The following is a 20,509-nucleotide window of genomic DNA, read 5'->3' on the forward strand; positions in this document are numbered from 1 at the left end:
TATTTCCCTTGAATGCTGTTATCCATGACAAAGGAGCTAACTGCTTAATTCCAGGGGTCTGTTATTATTTGTAAACTGGTTCTTAAATAAGGATACTTAGAGATGCCTCTTGCTCCAGATGGTACCATTTAACTGCCTGTGTTACTCATGAGTGATTTTCTGCTTTAGCTTTAAACAAATACTTAACGCAGCAATTCTGTTATCAAGAATTCTCTCTCAAAATTGGAACAAAATCCTGAAGTGCTGCATGAAGTGGCAGCACAAGCAATTTCCTCATGGGTTAAAAATAAACGGAGCATGACTGTGCTGGTAGGTAAAAAAGGGAACTGTAGCCAACTAGAAAGAGAAAAGACCTCTGGTCTGTCTGAAGACCTGAGTGCAAATCTTTGCTTGACAACTCATTACCCTGTGACCTGGGTAGATCACAGAAAAGTAGGGATTAGGTCATTCTTTTCATATGATTTGTTTATGAACTAAATAAAATAATATTTTTCCATCACTATTTCTGATGAATGTTAATAGATGTTACCAGAAAAAAAAGCTTCCATGGTTGTAATCATTTGAGAAACACTAAGTTAAACCAGGAATTAAGTTTTTAAATGTGAAACACTTCTCAGTCTTTACAATGCTCATATGTTTTGTGACTTTTAGAAAAGACATAGGTGATATGTTTTCTAAATATATTTGGCTCACAGCCAGCAATATCCTATGGAATACACTTTGGGAAATGCTATCCTAATCTCGAAAGTGCTGTTCAAAGGTAAGCTGTTAAAAATTTAGATGTTAACAATATTTACCTGGAGCCTATGTTTTACTCATTTGTGTTTTGAAAGATCTTATTTTTTAAAAAATGATTCCTTTTTTTCTTGAGCTGCCATAGGTAAGTTTAACTTCCTTTTTCTCTTTTTTCTAACTACGAAACTTTGTTTCTTGCCCATATCCGTGAACCCAGAGTTAAAAAAAATGTAATTCCTACCTGATTATCAAAATAAACCCATTATATATAATATTTTAAAATAAATTTGTTAGCATTTATGATAGGTAGTACATCAAGTACTTAAAAATAAACAAATGAAAAGGAAAGCAAAACAAAACAAATTTGTGTCTACAGTTCGGAGAACCCTAGCTGTACTTCTCAGCTTTGTGCTTAAAATGTAACCAGACATTATTTTTGCCTTCATGGAATTTCTACTCTAGAATTTTATCATAATGTAAGCTGAAACTCTGTATAAATTTTAATGCTATTTTTGCATTCCTCTTGGTAATGCATTCAAAATGTTAGAATATTTGAAAAACAGCTCAAGTACTGGATAAAAATCTTGGATTCAAATTCTAAAGGGTCACTTACTTGCTCTATGATTGCTACAATTTACTCAGCCTCAGTTTTCTCATATATTAAATGGTTATAGTGATACCTACCTTCTAGAATAGTTGTGAAGCACAAGTAAGGAAATTATTAGATGACACTTACTGACATGCATTTGTTACTCTTGAGGGATAATAGAAGAGAAAGTAATATATGTACCTACTAAAATAAAAATGACTTTTGGTTATTTCCTGAATTAGGAAAAAAATACATACATTTCTGAATTAGGAAATGACCACAAGTGCCCAGTTTCTAAAAATTAGAAACAAATATATTTTTATTAAAGTAACTCTAAATGACAGTGCAGTGAATTTCAGTTTATATTTCAAAGAACAATACAAAATAGCTAATCTATGCTGCATATCTGTGTCTATGGAAGTCTTTCTTTTAATCTTTCATATTTCTTTTCCATGCCCTTTTACATGTTCATTGTTACTTAGCTCACATAATAGGGTTTGAATTTTGGTACCCCTCCTTTAAAAATGCTAAACTATCTTTGTTTTTTTTAATTGATATATAATAGTTGTACATGTTTTGGGAATACATGTGATATTTTACATGTATACATGTAAAATGTGTAATAATCTAATCAGGGTAATTGGAATATTAATTGTCTCAAACATTTACCTTTTCTTTGTGTTGGAAACATTACAATTCTTCCCTTCTAGTTATTTTAAAACATACAGTAAATTACTGTTAACTACAATCTCTCTACTGCACTATTGAATTCTGTAACCTATTTCTTCTTTTTAAATGGAATGTTGTATCCACTTACCAACTTCTCCATCTCCTCCCTTTCCTCCCTACCCTCCCCAGCCTCTGTTAACTATAATTCTACTCTCTACCTCCATGAAATGTACTTTTTTAACTTCCACATGTGAGTAAGAATATGTGGAAATTGTCTTTCTGTGCCTTGCTTAACATAATGACCTCCAGTTCCAACCATGTTGCTTCAAATGACAGGATTTTATTCTTTTTTATTACTGAATAATATTCCATCGTGTATATACACTGCATTTGCTTTATCCATTCACTCACTGATGGTTGATTCCATATCTTGGGTATTGCGAATAGTGCTGCAATAAACATTGGAGTACAGGATCTTCTTGATGTACTGATTTCCTTTATTTTGGATATATACTCAGCAGTGCGATTGCCGGATCTCATGTGATACGGTTTCGCTCTGGGTCCCCACCCAAACCTCGTCTTGAGTTGTAATCCCCATGTGTTGAGGAAGGGACCTGGTGGGAGGTGATTGGATCATGGGGTGGTTTCTCCCATGCCATTCTCGTGATAGTTTATGAGTCCTCATAACAGCTGATGGTTTTAATGTGTGACATTTCCTCACTCTCTTTCCTGCCACATTGTGAAGAAGGTGTTTGTTTCTCCTTTGCTTTCGCCATGATTTTAAGTTTCCTAAGGCCTCTTCAGCCATGCAGACCTCTTTTTGTTTATAAATTCACAAAAGTCAATTAAACTTTTTTGTTTATAAATTACCCAGTCTCAGCTAGTATTTTTATAGCAGTGTGAAAACGGACTAATGCAACATGGTAGTTATATTTTTAGTTGTTTTGTGTTTCCATAGTGGCTGTGCTAATTTACATTCTCACCAACAGTGCACAAGCAGCATCCCCTTTCTCTGCAACTTTGCCAGAACCCATTATTTTTTGTCTTTTAGATTATTGCCATTTTAACAGATGTGAGATTATATTTCATTGTGGTTTTAATTTGCAGTTCTCTGATGATTAGTGATAATGAACATTTCTTTCATATACCTGTTGGCCATTTAATTTTTATGTTTTGTTTTTGAGAAATGTCAATTTTGGTCTTTTGCCCATTTTTTAATGATTATTTTTGTTATGGAGTTATTTGAGTTCCTTTTGTATTATGGTTATTAATCTCTTGTTGGATAGATAGTTTGCAAATATTTTCTCTCATCCTGTAGGTTGTCTCTGTATTTTATTGATTGTTTCTTTTGCCATGCAGAAGCTTTTTAGCTTGATGTAATTTAATTTGTCTATTTTTCCCTTTGAGGCCTATGCTTTCAAGCTCTTACTCAAAACACCTTTGCCCAGAACAATGTCTTGTAGCATCTTCCCAGTGTTTTCTTCTAGTAGTTTCACAGTATCAGGTCTTCCATTTAGGTTTTTAATCCATTTTGAGGTGGCTTCTGTATATGGTACCTGATAGGGCTCTAGTTTCATTCTTTTGCATATGGAAATACATTTTTTTTCCAGCACCATTTATTTATTAAAGAGACTGTTCTTTCCCCAGTGTATGTTCTCAGCACTTTTGTCAAGAGTCAGTTGGCTGTAAGTGCATGGATTTATTTCTGGGTTCTCTATTCTGTCCCATTGGTCTATGTGTATGTTTTTAGGCACACACATAGACTAATGTTGTTTTGGATATTATAGCTTTGTTGCATAATTTGAAGTTTAGGTATTGTGATGCTTCCAGCTTTGTTCTTTTTCCTCAGGATTGCTTTAGCTATTTGGAATATTTTGTGGTTCCACATAAACTTTAGGATAGTTTTTTCTATTTCTATGAAGAATGTCATTAGTATTTTGATTGGTATTGCATTGAATTTGTAGACCACTTCGGGTAGTATGAACGTTTTAACAAAATTAGTTCTTCCAATCCATGAGCATAGGATACCTTTCCATTTTGTAGGGCCCTCTTTAATTTATTTCATCAGTGTTTTATAGTTTTCCTTGTAGAGATCTTTCACTTTTTAGTTAAATGTATACCTAAGTATTTTTATTAAATCCTAGTCTATCTTACAGCCTCTTTTAATTTTATGTTTCTGATGGTCTCAGGAATAATAATGGCTATATTAATTATTTTTATTTTAAAATTATTGTCTTCATCTTGAATTGATACTTTCTTCCAATTTCAGTGTCTGCTTCATCAGTACAGTGATCATTTGCACATATGAAAATCATTGTGAGCATTGGTGCAGATTATAGGGGCAAGCACTGAGCACGGGGAGATTTATAGCTAACTGTTGTGTTTTAAGATGTGATGGGAGGTTGTTCTCAGAGATCAAGTGTTTGTTTATTAGTAAGTGGAGGTCAGCTAGAATATGACAGCACCACCTCTGGTTTCTCCAGCAGTGATGGCTGGCAGATTTGAGAGTAAGGGGTTGGCATGGCTGTTCTCTTGCCCTTAACAAATTTAAACCACCTATTTCCTTCGTTTTTCTGCCTCTTAGACTAGATTTTTCTGGAGTTCTGATGGCAATACTCACTTCATAGCAAATCTCTCTTTTTCCTATATGGCACTAATGGTTATTTAGATCTGTTAAATTTTCCCATTGGTTTCCAACTCTTTGGTATATTCAGAAATTCTTTTGCTTTCTGGTTGGTACTTCTACGAATTTTTTCTAATTTTCTAACGCTTATTCTTTCTTTCCAGTGGGAATTTTTATGGGGAGAGGGAGAGGTAAAGTCTTGTGCTAGTCATCTGTCTTGAGCTGGAACACTTTAAAATGATTTTCTTTCTATTATATTGTCCTTTAAAAACCATACATTGTTACAATGGAACTTTCTTTTTACTCCCCTTAAAGCATATTTGACTACAGCCACCAAAGAAATTTATTTCCAAACTTTTGGTTGATTTAATCCCTCAACAGAAGAAATTCGTTTTTGTAGTTGAATATGCATTGTTCATTCATTCATACATTCATCAAATACTTGCTCAGCCCCTCTTAGATATTGGATTATGAAGAAATATAGACACAGTCTGGCCAGCGGCAGAACTATACTCCAATGTGCAAATAAGGTTTTCTTTATTGTTTTCTTTATTCTTCCAGAAGAAGAGTGAATCTGTTTTTACCTTTCTGCTAATTTAACTTATTAGCATAGCATATGTTTACTTTATGTTTAAAAAATTGCTTACTATTTGTACAGTAAAAATCTTCATTTTAACTTTGCAACCACTAAAAAAGAATACCAAAAGAAGTGTGAAGCCAGGTGCAGTGGCTCACACCTGTAATCCCAGCACTTGAGGAGGCCGAGGCAGGTGGATCATTTGAGGCCAGGAGTTAGAGACCAGCCTAGCCAACATGGTGAAAGACCATTTCTACTAAATATACAAAAACTAGCCAAGCGTGGTGGTGCTTGCCTGTAATCCCAGCTACCTGGGAGTCTGAGGCATGAGAATTACTTGGACTAGGGAGGCAGAGGTTGCAGTGAGCCGAGATTGCGCCACTGCACTTCCGTCTAGGAAATAGAGTGAGACTCTCTCAAAAAAAAAAAAAAGGATAGAGGAAGCATTTTGGAATACAGATATGTTCATGATCTTGATTGTGGTGATGATTTAATGGGTGCAAAAATTATCTAATTGTACATTTTAAATATATGCAGTTTATTGTATGTCCATTATACCTCAATTAAAATTGTTTTTTAAAAAACAAACAAAAAAACAAAACAAAACAAAACAAAAAGAATACCTAAGGTGAAATATGAAGCTTCGAATACAACAGAAAATTAAACTGATGTTTTAATTTCACTGTCAATAATACCATGCATCTTCTAGATATTCTCACAGGATTGTTGCCTTCATGTAGGATACAACTGATGGGCCTTTAATACAAGTGGCTGTTTTAGATTAAATGATCTGAATTTATCCCTTACAGGTCTCTCAGGACATTTAGAGTTAAAATGCATATTGCCTGTATTGAAAACAGATCTTCATGATATTAGACTAGGAAGAAATTCCAAAATAGTTTATGAAATTCCTCTTCTGCAGAGACTATGGAGTCATCTTTGTTCTTATATGTCTGCTGTAATTTAAATGTGGTTGTCCTTGAGGGTCAAAGACAAGACAAAGTACCCTGCCAAGCTTCCATTTAACTTTATGACCTGTGGACAGCTAAGCTTAGTCATCCCCAGTAAGTGAAGTGTTTGTGAAAATGACACAATACACAGGAAGCTGCATGTGCAATATGGAATTGGAAATGGAACATGGAAACCAGGTGAGGAGATGGCTTATTGATCCTGGAAATCTGTGCTTTTCAGACTAGGACATGCATGACCACAGAGGTACAGAATGTTATGCCAGGGAACATTTGAAGTTGTAGAATACACATAATCCATCTTCCTACCATGTTGATAGTCATAAAATAATTAGAGAAAAATATTTTGTATTTAATTTTCTTTCTATTATAACATATAGTTGTATTGTAGAGTAAAACCCACAAATTTTTGCATTAATTAAAAAAATAAGACATTAGATTTCAAAATAAGTTTGGGCTAATTTGGACTAATTTTCTCTAATGATGCTCCCGGGGCACCTGTTACCTCTCCTCTGCTATAATTTGTTGGAGATGGTCATAGAGCTCATCTGTAGGTGAAAACGTATGATCTAAAATGCTGGCTTCATTATGCAGATTATTGTCACAGTTTGAGTAACAATAGTTTTTAATGCTAGTGGTTAATTTATCTAGCTATTTAATAAAAAAAATTTGCTTTGAGACTAGCCTATTAAAAGCTGATCTTTTAGATCTTCGAAAAAATTGAGCCATAAACTAGCCTCATTACTATATATTTATTGGGTATTTGTTTTGATGGATTAAATAATAACATCTGTTTAAAAGGTAATTGCCAAAGTACATCAAGCATGCAAAATTGTCCTTCGCACCTTTATTAGATTACACTACGGGTAGTAAGTCACCAGCCTAGCATCTGCAGCTTTTCTTCTCCACACTGATTGTAACCAATCACTCTTTTTTCAAGTGTGAGCCTCCAAGTTATCATCTCAAGGCTGTGAAAGCTGAATCTCTACATGTTACTAAAATATTCTGAAACTCACAAAGAAGTTGGAGATAAAGTGCATGCATATTAAAATTACTCAAATGACAGCTTTATTTTTAGCTAATTTTCATTTATGGATGTCTCTCAATTTTCTGTCTGAACAAAGATAGACAAAGGCACAAATTCAGGTGATCTTTTTCCATTTCTGACATTTATTTTAGAGATCTCTGCAAATAGAGAAATCTATCAATATGGCTCCACCTTGTTAACCTCACACCTTTTCCCACCGAGAGTATCTAACATTTAAGCCCAGGGCCAAGGCCAGCACGGGGTCTGAAGGGAGAGCAGGCACATTCTTTTTCTCACTTCTCCTGTTTCTTCTTTGTCTTCGCCTTAGAAGACCACTGAGAAATAAATGTTTATTTACTTTCCAGTTTTCCTTTTATTCCTGTGGGGGACATCAGACAGATGAATCTATTGTAGTTCTGGTATTTCTAAGCTTTTGACAGCAAATGAAAGTACAGAGATGTTTACTGTTCCACCTAGTTCATATTTAAGCAGCCCTGCAATCATGGGCTCAATAAAAATAACTTCAAGTATGAATTTTGGAATACTTGACTTGAAATCATGAATCAAAAACCTGTAAGTACTTGCTCAAGGTCTGAGAAAAATAAAAAAGTACTGTAAAAGTGACTATTATTCAAACCTTAGAGTCGGAAGACAATGTACACGTCAACCCTTCTCAGCAGTTCTGAATTCCTTTTACAAAACCCGTATCTAAGGTCATTCCACCTCTTCTGGAACATTTTTATGGAAAAACTATCTATTTGGATACTTTCAGTGAAAACTCATTGCCCCAAATAGCTGCCACATTAATCATTTTCACTGTTAAAAAGTCTGGGCTTAAAATTGATCCTAAATTTGCCATCATATGTTTATATCTACTGGTCCTGGTGATGCCCTCTGGAATAAAATACTAAAGTCTTATCCTCCCCCTTGATGTATCTTTGAATATTTGAAGGAATCATGTCTTCCATTAATCTAGTTACTTGTTGGAGCTGGCTTATACCAGGTTACAAGAGCCAATTTTTAAATTTTCCAGAAATTTGCAAGCGGTTGTTAAACTGGTCATTATTAAAAAATAAATTATGTAAATTTCCTGTTAATTAAATTATATTAAAAACAAAGATGATAAATATAGCTCATTATACGCTAACTATTTTACCACTATCTAAGACTAAGGTTATTTATACCTATATCTGAATGGTAGTAATAGAAACATTATATATTGATTGCTACATGCTATAGACTGAATATTTATGTCCTTCCCAAATATATAAGTTTAAAACCTAATCTCCAAAATGATGACATTAGGAGGTGGGGCCTTTGAGAGGTGGTTAGGCCTTGAGGGCAGAGCCCACATTAATGGAGTTGGTGCCCTTATGAATAAGACCCCAGACCGGGCGCAGTGGCTCACACCTGTAATCCCAGCACTTTGGGAGGCCAAGGCAGGCAGATCATCAGAGGTCAGGGGTTCAAGACCAGCCTGGCCAACTTGGTGAAAACCCATCTCTACTAAGAGTACAAAAATTAGCTGGGTGTGATGTTGCGCATCTGTAATTCTAGCTACTTGGGAAGCTGTGGCTGGAGAATCACTTGAACCCGGGAGGTGGAGGTTATAGTGAGCTGAGATCGTGCCACTGCACTCCAGCCTGGGCGACAGAGTAAAACTTTGTCCCCAAAAATAATAAAATAAAATAAAATGAATAAGACCCCAGATAGTTCATTTGCTCCTTCACCATGTGAAGAAAAAATAAGATGGCCACCTATGAAGCAGAAAGTAGGCTCTCACCCAACACTGTATCTGCCAGTGCCTTTATCTTGGGCTTGCTTGCTTGCTTGCTTGCTTGCTTTCCTTCTTTCCTTCCTTTCTTTCTTTTTTCTTTCTTTCCTTTTCTTCTTTCCTTCTTTCTTTTCTTATCTTCCTTTTCCTTCCTTCCTTCCTTCCTTCCTTCCTTCCTTCCTTCCTTCGCCCTTTCTCTCTCTCTATTGCTTGCTTGCTTGAGATGGAGTCTTGCTCTGTCACCCAGGCTAGAGTGCGGTGGCACAATCTTGGCTCACTGCAACCTCTGCCTCCCGGGCTCAAGCAATCCTCCTGTCTCAGCCTTCTGAGTACCTGGGACTATAGGCACACACCACCATGCTCAGCTAATTTTTTGTAATTTTCATAGAGAAGGGTTTTTGTCATGTTGCCCAGGCTGGTCTCAAACTCCTGAGCTCAAGTGACCCGCCCACCTAGGCCTCCCAGAGTGCTGGGCCTAAAAATAAATATCTTTTCTTTAAAAGCCACCCAATCTATGGTACTTTGTTATAGCAGCCTGGAAGGACTAAGACACTGTAGTACTGATTATTTCTTCCCAACCCTGTGATCAGCGATGTCATCCTGATGGTTGGAAAGTGGCTATGGTTGGAGAATTTATACCATGGAAATTAACAAACACTAAAAATTAGTACTTCTACTTTTCTCTTTTTTTTTTGTTTTGGAGAGCTAGTTGTTGAACATTTCTCAGCACACTACTTTCCAATCTCTTATCTAGCCTAAAAATCTTATGCAGTTTCTTTTATTATCTGATAATCTCTCAAAATTCATTTCTCTGTGATTTTATGAGCAGCTCCACTCTCCAACATACCCTCCTCCAGAGGTCTGTCAGTTTCTCTTAGTATCTAGAACCTAAAACAAAATTCTCAACACTCAGTAGAAGAATTCCTACTGATGATTAGGACATTATTATTTTTTACAAGACCTAAGGAAACAGTTATTGTTTTTAAATAGTGTGTAGGTGTTATACATACATAAAAGACTAAAAATATAGATTTCTACACCTACCACCAAGATCTTTGAGAGACTCTAATGACATGCATAAAAAAGTACCATGAAAAACATAATGTTACAGAAATATAAATGATTATTAGAATTTATTGTTATTATAGCAACTGTGTGCAGGTCACAGAAAATAGTATTTCCACTATGTGTTTCAATAATCAGAACAAATGTCAAATATTGTTCTCAGTCTTGGTGTTTTGTTTTCATAACAACATGGATAAATGAGGGGAAGTCTTCAGAAGTGTGTCCAGAATGGCAAGGTGTCTTGTTTTGATTCTGTTATTCTATCACAGGCATAGCTTTCTAACTATGTTTTAGTTAAATTAATACTAAAATTTGTTTACATTATCTGTAAAAATATTATTTCATAATTAGGTAACATACACATGAATATCTGAGAGTGATTCTGTAATAAGCCTGCTTTCTACCAATTTTTTAAATTTAGCTAAGTAACCCATTATTAAAATTAGTTTCATTTTCCACCTTCATATTTTAAAAATAATCTTCCATATTTTCAAGGAAAAGAGAAAACCCCAAATCTTTTTTTTTCTTTTATACTTTAAGTTCTAGGGTACATGTGCACAACGTGCAGGTTTGTTACATATGTATACATGTGCCATGTTGGTGTGCTGCACCCATTAACTCGTCATTTACATTAGGTGTATCTCCTAATGCTATCCACGCCCCTCCCCCCACCCCATGACAGGCCCCAGTGTGTGATGTTCCCCACCCTGTGTCCAAGTGTTCTCATTGTTCAGTTCCCACCTATGAGTGAGAACGTGCGGTGTTTGGTTTTCTGTCCCTGTGATGGTTTGCTGAGAATGATGGTTTCCAGCTTCATCCATGTCCCTACAAAGGACATAAACTCATCCTTTTTTATGGCTGCATAGTATTCTATGGTGTATATGTGCCACATTTTCTTAATCCAGTCTATCACTGATGGACATTTGGGTTGGTTCCAAGTCTTTGCTATTGTGAATAGCGCTGCAATAAACATACGTGTGCATGTGTCTACAGCAGCACGATTTATAATCCTTTCGGTATATACCCAGTAATGGGATGGCTGAGTCAAATGGTATTTCTAGTTCCAGATCCTTGAGGAATTGCCACACTGTCTTCCACAATGGTTGAACTTCCACTGTTGGTTGCAGTCCCACCAACAGTGTAAAAGTGTTCCTATTTCTCCACATCCTCTCCAGCACCTGTTGTTTCCTGACTTTTTAATGATCACCATTCTAACTGGTGGGAGATGGTATCTCATTGTGAAAAACCCCAAATCTTTTACAAATATGGACACCTAGACCTTTTGTAGCAGAATAAGAAATATCAAAACATATTCTTTCAAGTGCTATTATAGTTAATGAATACAATCAGGAATAATTAAGATGAAACAATATCCACAGAAGAGATTGTGTAATATAGAAAACAACTCATAGTACTATATACTACAGAAAGATAGGGACATGAGCTCTTTGGCAGAAATGAAATGAAGAAGACAGGGCAAAGGGTATTGAGAGTTGGGAGATGAGGCCACAAAGATATCATAAATGCTATGAAGGAATAGGCAACATACTTTGTCAGCAGGAGGAGCCACTCAAATTTTTTGTTTGTTTGTTTGTTTGTTTTTAGCAATTGAATAATCTGAAACAATTGTTTTACAAGATCACACTGGCAATATTGTGGGCTGAAGGCAAGGTTGCAGAGTAATTACAATGTAATAGCCAGACCAAATCATATGGCAGTTTTTAAGAGTGCCAGTGGAAGTTGAAAACAATTCAGACTTAGCAATCTACATAAAGATGGTAGCTAAAGCTATAAAACATAAGCATACAAACAAAATCACCAAGGGAATAAGTATAGAGAACATATAAAGTACAATGATCATAATCTTAGGAAGAAGGTAAAACAAATTTTAAAAGAGGCATTACAATGTCAAATGTCAAGAATGAGAAGCGAAATAGCATATATGTTTTATTTGAGCAGTATTCTCTATATACTTCTTCATAAATATTGCCATATTTTAATTAATATTTTGACTTGATTCTTTTCTTTGGATTTACTTAACCTATGTATTACTATTATAAATAGAAAAATCATAAATAGAAGATAACTATAAAATAAATAGAAAACTACTAATAACAAATTAGAGAATATTGTATGTCACTGAAAATTGACTTCTATACAATCAGTGGTTCATGTACTACATTTTGGGAAATTCGAGACTAGGAGAAGCCACTCTTGATATATAGAGAATACTTAATGGAGTTGAGATTTAGGGAAAGAAATTAAATTGTTTGGGAGCTGGTTTGCTCTTGAAGTGAAATGTAGGACCAAGAATGTGGGGGGTACCTTTGAGAAACAAGAACTGAGGGCCTCCTGATGCTGAAGCATAGAGTTTGGACATTTGCATCAGAACCTCTGAGAGAGGGAACTTTTTTTTTCAAGCATGTTGTAAAAATTTTGCATTTCATATAGTGGTATGTCTGATACAACTAATAATAATAATTTTCCACCACCACTGGGAGATATGTCTTCTTGAAAAGTGTCTTTTGCTGAACAAAAACAAAAAAAAGCTGTTCCAATAGAAGACTAAACAAGTCAATCTATAGTGTAAAGCAGTAGTTCAAAATTTAATTTAATCGCATTGCATGAAATTGGTTTTCTTTATGTAATATCAAAGAATGCAATTAGAAATAAGGAAATTTTTCCAAATCACCATTTTTTTTTCATTTTAAACACAATTTGCTTTCCATGGGAAAATAACCTCTCCTTTCATGGTTGTTTGTAAAGTTGAAAGAAGAAGAATCTTTCATGGCAAGAAGATATGCTGGAATGTACATGTCCTCCCAAATGTTAAAAACTTACTTTGACTTGCAAAGAAATTGTCTTCATACAATGAAAACCTCTCAGGAAGTCCAACTGCTTATTTGTTTGTTCTTTCAAGCGAAACAAATCATCATTAAAAAGGTTCAGCTTCAAATTAAGACCTTTTAGAAGCTTAGAGGAACTTGCTCACAAAGGTTCAAATCCCTTAGAAAATGGCTCATTGCTGTCTCAGAAAGAGAGAAAAATAGTTACTGATGAGATTCAAATTATTCTCTATCTTCTCTTTCATTAATTTTAAACATAATTCATAGGCCATTATGCTTTGGAAATCAAAAGAATTATTCCTCATTGTAGCCCACCATTTTTCATCATTATACACATACAATGTCCAATTTCACCTCACTCATTCAAAATGGTGCTTAAAGCAGGCAGAAAAGATTAACTCCAATACTTATATTTGGCTTTAATTCATAGTTTTATAAAGAGTTTTACTGGTCTAAATATGTATTTACACAATAGAATATGATGAGTCATTTATAAAATGTAAACATACTAGTTTTAAAAATTGCTTAAATGTGTATTCTGCCTGAGATTTCCTCAGGATATTCCTATGAGATTCATAGCAACAAACTCCCTTGTGTTTGAATAACGCTACTTCTCCACACATTACAAATAATAAGTGTGAGCAAAGGGTAGAGATACCTCTCAAAGCAGTCAAAATATTTTAATCCTTCATCTTTCTTCATGTTGAACAGTCACGGAAGCACCGCCTCTCATTTCACATAGAATCGCCGTCAGTCTGTTCTGACTATGCTTTTAATAGTGTCAGCGGGTTGCTGTTTAAAGCCTCTAATAATCAAACACCTGGGCAGCTGTTTCAGAGAATAATAGTGTTCTCTTTCTATAAAGACAAATACAGCTCAGCACAGTGGATTTTTTTCTTGGCTAGACAAGCATTTCACTATTTCATAAGTCTCTCTTTGCTTTTAAATGGTCTGTTGCACATTAAAAAACACTTGAAATATTATTTCCTGTTGCTAGTGAGGATGATGATGAATATCATTTTGGGGCCAGTGTCAATGTCATCATATGTCTGAGGTTGGTATCTCTGTATTAACATGCCACTGCCAGTTCTGATTCCTGTCCAAGATGAGGTATAATAAAACTCTAGTCTCCCGCACAGCCTGCTCTGAGTGAATTACTCTTTCTCTATTGCAATTCACCTATCCTGATGAATTGGCTTTGTCTAGGCAGAAGGCAAGATGAACCCCTTGGGTGATTACAGTTCTTCTGATTATCCAACTTTCCCTTTTGGATCTCCACTACCTTCGCTTTTCTCACAAATGTGTGAAGTCTGATTCCCATGATAACTCCCTTATTCCATCTCTATAAAGGTTTCACTTCTCTTATTGAATATTGAGTGATAAGAAATCAGTACCTGAACCTGGATGCTACCAAAACAGAAACTAAACCATGAGACTTTGGAGCAAGGAGTGAGCATCAATAATATTTATAGAAAACTCACAAAGTTTTAAAGGGAACTTTACTACAAAACATACCATGTAGTTGAACCCAAAAGGACAGAGACAGTTCAAGTTAAAAAGAAGGTTTTGGGCCCCAACTTTACAGAAGCAGGAAGCAGGTTGACGTAGTTTCTCAAATGAAAAGATGGGTCATTTTTTAAGGAAAAGGAAAGATATCTCAGAAGGAGGTGCTAAGACTCCAGAGCTGAGAACAATGGATTAAGGAATTACTCCTAGAGAGCAGAATTAGTGTCTAATCAAGAAACAGTTTTTGCTTCTGATGGATTTGGGGAAACCAAAACATGTTCCCAGCTGTATTTTGTTTTATTTTCTTTGTCCTTTTCTCTTTTCTTTTTCCTTCCTCCTTTGTTTGCCTGCCTGCTGTTTTGGAATTGCTATGAACTCATGACTGTGATTCCCAGTTCCCCTTTTCTTTGCACAGAAGTATCTCTTGCAGTTATTATGTTCCCGTCTTGCTATTCAATGTTGCTTATTTAAAGGTTAGATAACTTATATTTTTAAGTTCAAAGTTCTTTAGGCTAAAAGGAGGTCCATCTGATGAGCCTCATCCATATCTGTGCCTAGCTTAAATCATAAGATCTTGCATTTTGAGTCAGAGTCAAATGATAATAATGTGATTAGATAAAACTTTGGGGATCTTTTCAGAGCAGTATTATGCCCATTATTATATTTTGAACACTTCATTTCTAAAAAATATTGAAGTAATTAAAAAAAATAAGGTAGGGAAACCTAAAGCCTTAAAAGAAAAGACATGGAAAGTATAACTTTTATACTGTGGGAGAAAAGGACTTGTTAAACAACAGCTAAAACAAATTAAAAGGATCCAATACAGTAAAACTACCAAAGTGTCATCGATGGTTTTCATGTCAGTGCTAAGTGAATAAACTTTTTAAAAAGCATGGAATAGAAGCAAAGTGATAAAGTTTACTTCAGAATAGAAGATCAGCTATACTCTAGCTGAGGATTTTACATTTGAAACTGGTTGTTTGGTGTCTTAGTACCTCAGTGACTCTGGAGTATGTAAATGATAGACATAAGGAAATAGGAGGGGAAGAGATAGACTTTATAGATACCACTAAAAAAGCAATAATGAGGAATGACTTAACAAAATTCAAAGGTTTCAGATCATTTGAGAGCCTGAAACAGCAGATGGCAAATATAGTTCAATTCAGACAAACATTAAAAAAGATGCGTAGCAATAGAGAACTACAAACGAGGGCTGTGGAAACACATTTCAATGGACTAATCATCCAGCACACCAACCAGAAAATATTTGAAAACTTTTAAGTATCAGCTTAGTGCAAAGAAACTGTCTTCTAAGATGAAGGGCAGAATAAAAATAGTGTTTTAAGTTTCTAGTCTTAACTCATGGGGGAGGGGAAGGAGTAGGGATAAGAAAAAAATACTTAGATGTAGGAAAAGATAATGATACTTTGTGAAGCATGAGACTCTTAGTCACAAACTGCAGGAGATTTAATTTCCTCTACGGAAATAAAAAAGCATTTTGGTAGGTGTGTTAACTTATTTAATAGGGTACAAATTTTTAGTACCTTATGTAAGATGGCATCTAAAAATAGCCAGGGGAATTTTTCCCAAGTGGAAATAGATTGTGTAGTCTGTAAACTACCAGTTGTTTATGCTGATAGTCTTAGGGACAAAGGAGGATTCCTACACATTTATATGGCTGAGTCGGCTGCAGTGTTTCCCCCTTAATATAAGTATCCTGTTACATGTGATTTTGTATTGAGGTAGTCACTTCTCATAGAAAAAGCTCAAGGGGAATCTTGAAGCCTTCGTCGCTACTCTGTTAACAAAAATCTCATTAGGCTGTTCTTCCACAATTTACCCAGGACAACCAAGTTTGTCCCTCTAACTAGAGCATCTTTAATATGTGGTTAAGTTGACAGTCCAAAAAAGATGATGCAGGCATTCAGGGGAAGCTAAGTACTCAATTTGGTTGGGAAACCCTATGTATTTGGAGTTAAGTGCAGAGTTCCTGGAGAACAAAGAAATAATCTTTATTCTCCACATCACTCAGGGTTCTTTTGCAATTTCAGCAATATATGGCTAAAAATTATTTTTACTCTCAACAAATATTTTGGAAGAAAATGGGACAAGTTTATACTCTTATCCTTCTTTAGAGAGAATTTTGACACTGGTAAGAATATTAGTTATGTGTTCCTGAATTAACCTATGATGTCATAGTGCATTTGGGTGTGGTGTTTTGGTACTTAATCTAAAACTATCCTATCAGGAGTATCTAGAATTAAGACACTGAGTGGGAAGAGAGATACAAATATGTCCATAGAAATATGGAAGGTTTTAAGCCAGAAAATCCTTAAATGAAGGTCTGTAGCAGTATCTCTCCAGATATTTAAAAATACAATGATCACCAAAATATGCTATAAATGTTTAAAATGGACTCCTATCGAAAGTTCAGAGGTTAAAGATGATGTTGTTTATGGTACTCCTAGAAATTGATTCTTCTTTATTTTTTCTTTTCGTTGAGTTTAATTGCCACTAGAATTATTTTCAAGTTAAGAAGATAAGAGGATTGACTTTTTAAACTTCAAAATGAACTTCCCTGCTGTGACTGACTATATTCCCCAGTATGGAGAATTGTAAGTTTTCACAATGAAATCATAAACTTTTAGTGTACTTTTACTCTCTGCTTTATGCTTCATTCATCTGCCATATAGGAGCATTCTAGTTAGTGTACTGATAATAGCTTGCGTGCTTACCACGTACAGTTTTAAACTTATTACTTATCATATAGAAACTGAAATGCTATATATGCTTTAAAATATATTCTTATCTAAAAAATAATAAAAATAATTGATGACAAAAAATCTAATTTTAGGATCTTTAAATAAGATATATTTGGGATTACTATACAGAGATTATCTATTTAATTTAAAAAATAAAGTTAGCTAAAAATTTTTTTAGTAAATTTCTCTTTCCTTCAGTTGGCATATAGGTTCATGTAAACATTGCTTCCCCAATTGAAAAAGACCGTGTTTTTGACCTCACTAAACTTTTCCCCATTATAAAAGACCATGATTTTTATTTTCCTAAAAGCAGGTTTCCTGTCATTTATTTTTAAATTCTCTGTACCCAGCACAGTGCTTACAAATGGTAAGCTAGCAAATATTTTTAGAAGAAATACATGAATCATAATGTAGTACTTCCTAATGGTTTCAACTAATGGCATCAAATTTAAAATACATACCACCTAGAAATTAAACTCACTAAAATTTTTATTTTACTAAAGTATCATGTATATTCCACTCATATGAAAAGAGATAGAGGGTCACAAAAAATCAGAAAATACTAGGCAGCTACATTTTTGACAAGATCAAGAGTCACTGAACTCGTAGAGTAACAGGAAGTTATATTTAGAAGCAGACTTAAAATATGACAGTTCATGACATGATATTTATTAAGGAACACACTTCACATATGGGAGTTGGCTTTTTGCCCTAGTATGGCTTGCCTTACACCTCTTTTATATAGAACAAACAAAAGTGCTTTTGTACATGACATTGTGGCAGGGATTCTCAATTCGATTCTCTGATCTATTTATAAGAAAGGTTTTCTACTGCATAAGTTACCATGTCAATATTCATAAAAACTAAATATAAAATTGGTATCTGCAATGTATTGTTTCTAAAATCTTCTTCTTGATTTTTTTTTTCTTCTTTGATCATATCCCTAGCACTTACTTAATACTGTTTTCACGGACCACTGTCTTAATCAGTTCAGGCTGCTATAGTAAAATATTATAGACTGGGTGGTTTACAAACAATAGAAATTTATTTCTCACAGTTCTGGAGGTGATAGTTCAATATCATGGTCTCAGCATGGTCAGGTTCTGGTGAGTGCTCTCTTCTCAATTGTAGACTGATGACTTCTTGTTGTATTCTCACATGTTGTAAAGAGTGAAGAGCACTCTCTAGGGTCTCTTTCATAAGGGACCTAATCTAATCTCATTCATGAGGGCTCCATCCTCATGACTTAATTACCTCCCCAAGGCTCCACCTCCATATACCATCACATGGGATTAGGGTGAATTCTGTAGGGATACAAACATTCAGTTCAATGGAACCAACATCCTCATGCTCTCCTTGCCTGAGGGTAGAAATAGAAAAATGTCCAACAAAATATTTTCTCCTATTCTTTCATAGTAAATTTGTTGTTGGGCATGTAGCTGCCTAGCTAGAGACATTTCTCAGACTCTCTTCCAGCTAGATGTGGTCCTTTGGCTACATTTTCACTAATGGAATGCGACTAAAAGTGAAAATGACACTTCCAGCTATAGGTCTTAAAAATATTAGTCAAGCAAGTGTTTTTATACTTTCCCTTTCCTGTGAGCTGCAACATGGCCATTTCTGGGACTTAGCTACGGCCATACGGATGAGAACAACAGCCTTGTTGATGGCAGAATCACAATGTAAGGAACTTGAATCTCTGAATGACCTCATGGGGCAGAGCTGTCTGCTTACCTGGACTGCTACTTACATCTGTGACACAAGAAAGAATTAGAGTTATATTTTTTAACCTCTATACTTTGGACAGTTTTATTATAGCGGCTTAGTCTTCATCTTAACTAATCAGTTGGACCCAGCAAAAGTTTTAACTCATCTTAGTCCAGGATGAAATCAAACTCATTATTTTACATGCTGGCACTTTTCCGTCCAAAATAAAAACAGATTTACTTTTATCTGTTGATTAGTGCATCATATTAAAGGTGATATGTTCATTTAAGCAGTGTTCATATGAAAACAATATTTAGTTTGTAGTGACTACTGAATAGAATTTCAGCCTATGTTGAGGTGAAAATGTTTAGGTTATTTAACAATAATCAGATGTATATAAACAGATTCCATCTTGTAAGATACTGAGAGTTCCAACATTACACAGTGCAGATGTCCAACTGAGTGCTGCTCTCCAACAGTGATACTAAAAGGTAAAAGCCAAAGAAAGACTTGGTACTTTTCATGGCCTTTACTTCATTTGTCCTAGAAGCTCCAGATGGTTGATGGTCTTCTCAACCTTGACATTATCCATCAGTTCTATTTTGCTTTGGGCAGTTGTATGAGTTATCATCTGCCTGACTTTAAGCAGAGAGGTATGAAGTTCAGTTAATAATATATGCATTCATTCAACAGATGGGTGATAGAGGAATGAATGAACATGTATTTACTTATTGAGTTTATCATGAGTTAGGCATTATTCTGTTAACCAGAGATTCAGCAATGAATCAAAGAGACAAGTTTTCTTCCCTGGTAGAACTTGTCTTTCAGTTGGCATAGAGAAGAGCACGTACAAGTAAACAAACAAGTCAATAAATAAGAAATATTTAGGTATTGATAAATAATATAAAGAAAATAATAGCAGGATGATAAATTAGAGAGCGACTCAATGGAGAGAAACAATCTTAGAAAGTGTGCCCCCAAATTTCCTCTCTGAGAAAGTCATACGGAGCCACATCCTGAATAACAAAGAGAGAGCAGACATTGGAAAGCTAAGGGAAGAGTGTTTTAGGCAGAGAGACCTCTGGCAATGTAGTCAAGTCCTTAGAAATCTTTACGTTCATTTTTGGTTGCCACATATATGCTATTTACCTAATGATCATCTAATAACAAATAACATGCTAGTGATATGAAATAAGAATCAAGGGAATTGATATTTCTATAGAGAGCAAAAACTGAAATATTCAGCCCTCTGTCTTCACTTGGTTTAGTATTAGATGCTATGTGAATGAGGTATGCCAGTTTCCTAACTGCTGGAAAAGGGTTATCATCTAAAATTGATTCAAACAAGGGATCTTGTTTATTATAATAGTTTATTTTACTTATACTATTTTCAGTGGGAAAATGTAGGCCCCATTAACTGTAATGTTGTGCTTGGCAGGTACCATTAGGAAGTAATTGGCTTTGACTAGTAAAATTTCATGAATTGTCGTGACTTTACTTTTAATTGAGTCCAAGAAAGAGGCTGGAATGATTGAACAATAAAAAGTTGAAGAGGTCTGTTGTTTTGATGTATCATCTAATAGATATAAATATAATTAAATAATATAGACAGTAACTTAGCAGAAGGAGGAAAATCGGAAGTTCCTCTTGAGCCATGCTTA

The 20,509-nt window shown here is 34.9% G+C and overlaps 1 long non-coding RNA gene across 7 annotated transcripts in view; it reads left to right on the top strand.

Moving 5' to 3' along the window:
• The first annotated feature begins 378 nt into the window (after nucleotides 1-378).
• The window catches only part of LOC105377178 (uncharacterized), a 51,481-nt gene continuing 31,350 nt past the window's right edge, over nucleotides 379-20,509 (top strand). For 5 of the 7 annotated variants that reach the window (NR_188679.1, NR_188675.1, NR_188678.1 and 2 more), the window contains exon 1: nucleotides 16,632-16,994. This is a non-coding gene — a long non-coding RNA (uncharacterized LOC105377178). Of the gene's footprint in view, nucleotides 761-16,631; nucleotides 16,995-20,509 lie in introns of those variants that run through there. The other 2 variants (NR_188681.1, NR_188680.1) reach the window with 2 other exon arrangements.

Source organism: Homo sapiens, chromosome 3 (assembly GCF_000001405.40).
Source record: "Homo sapiens chromosome 3, GRCh38.p14 Primary Assembly".
Lineage (NCBI taxonomy): Eukaryota > Metazoa > Chordata > Mammalia > Primates > Hominidae > Homo > Homo sapiens.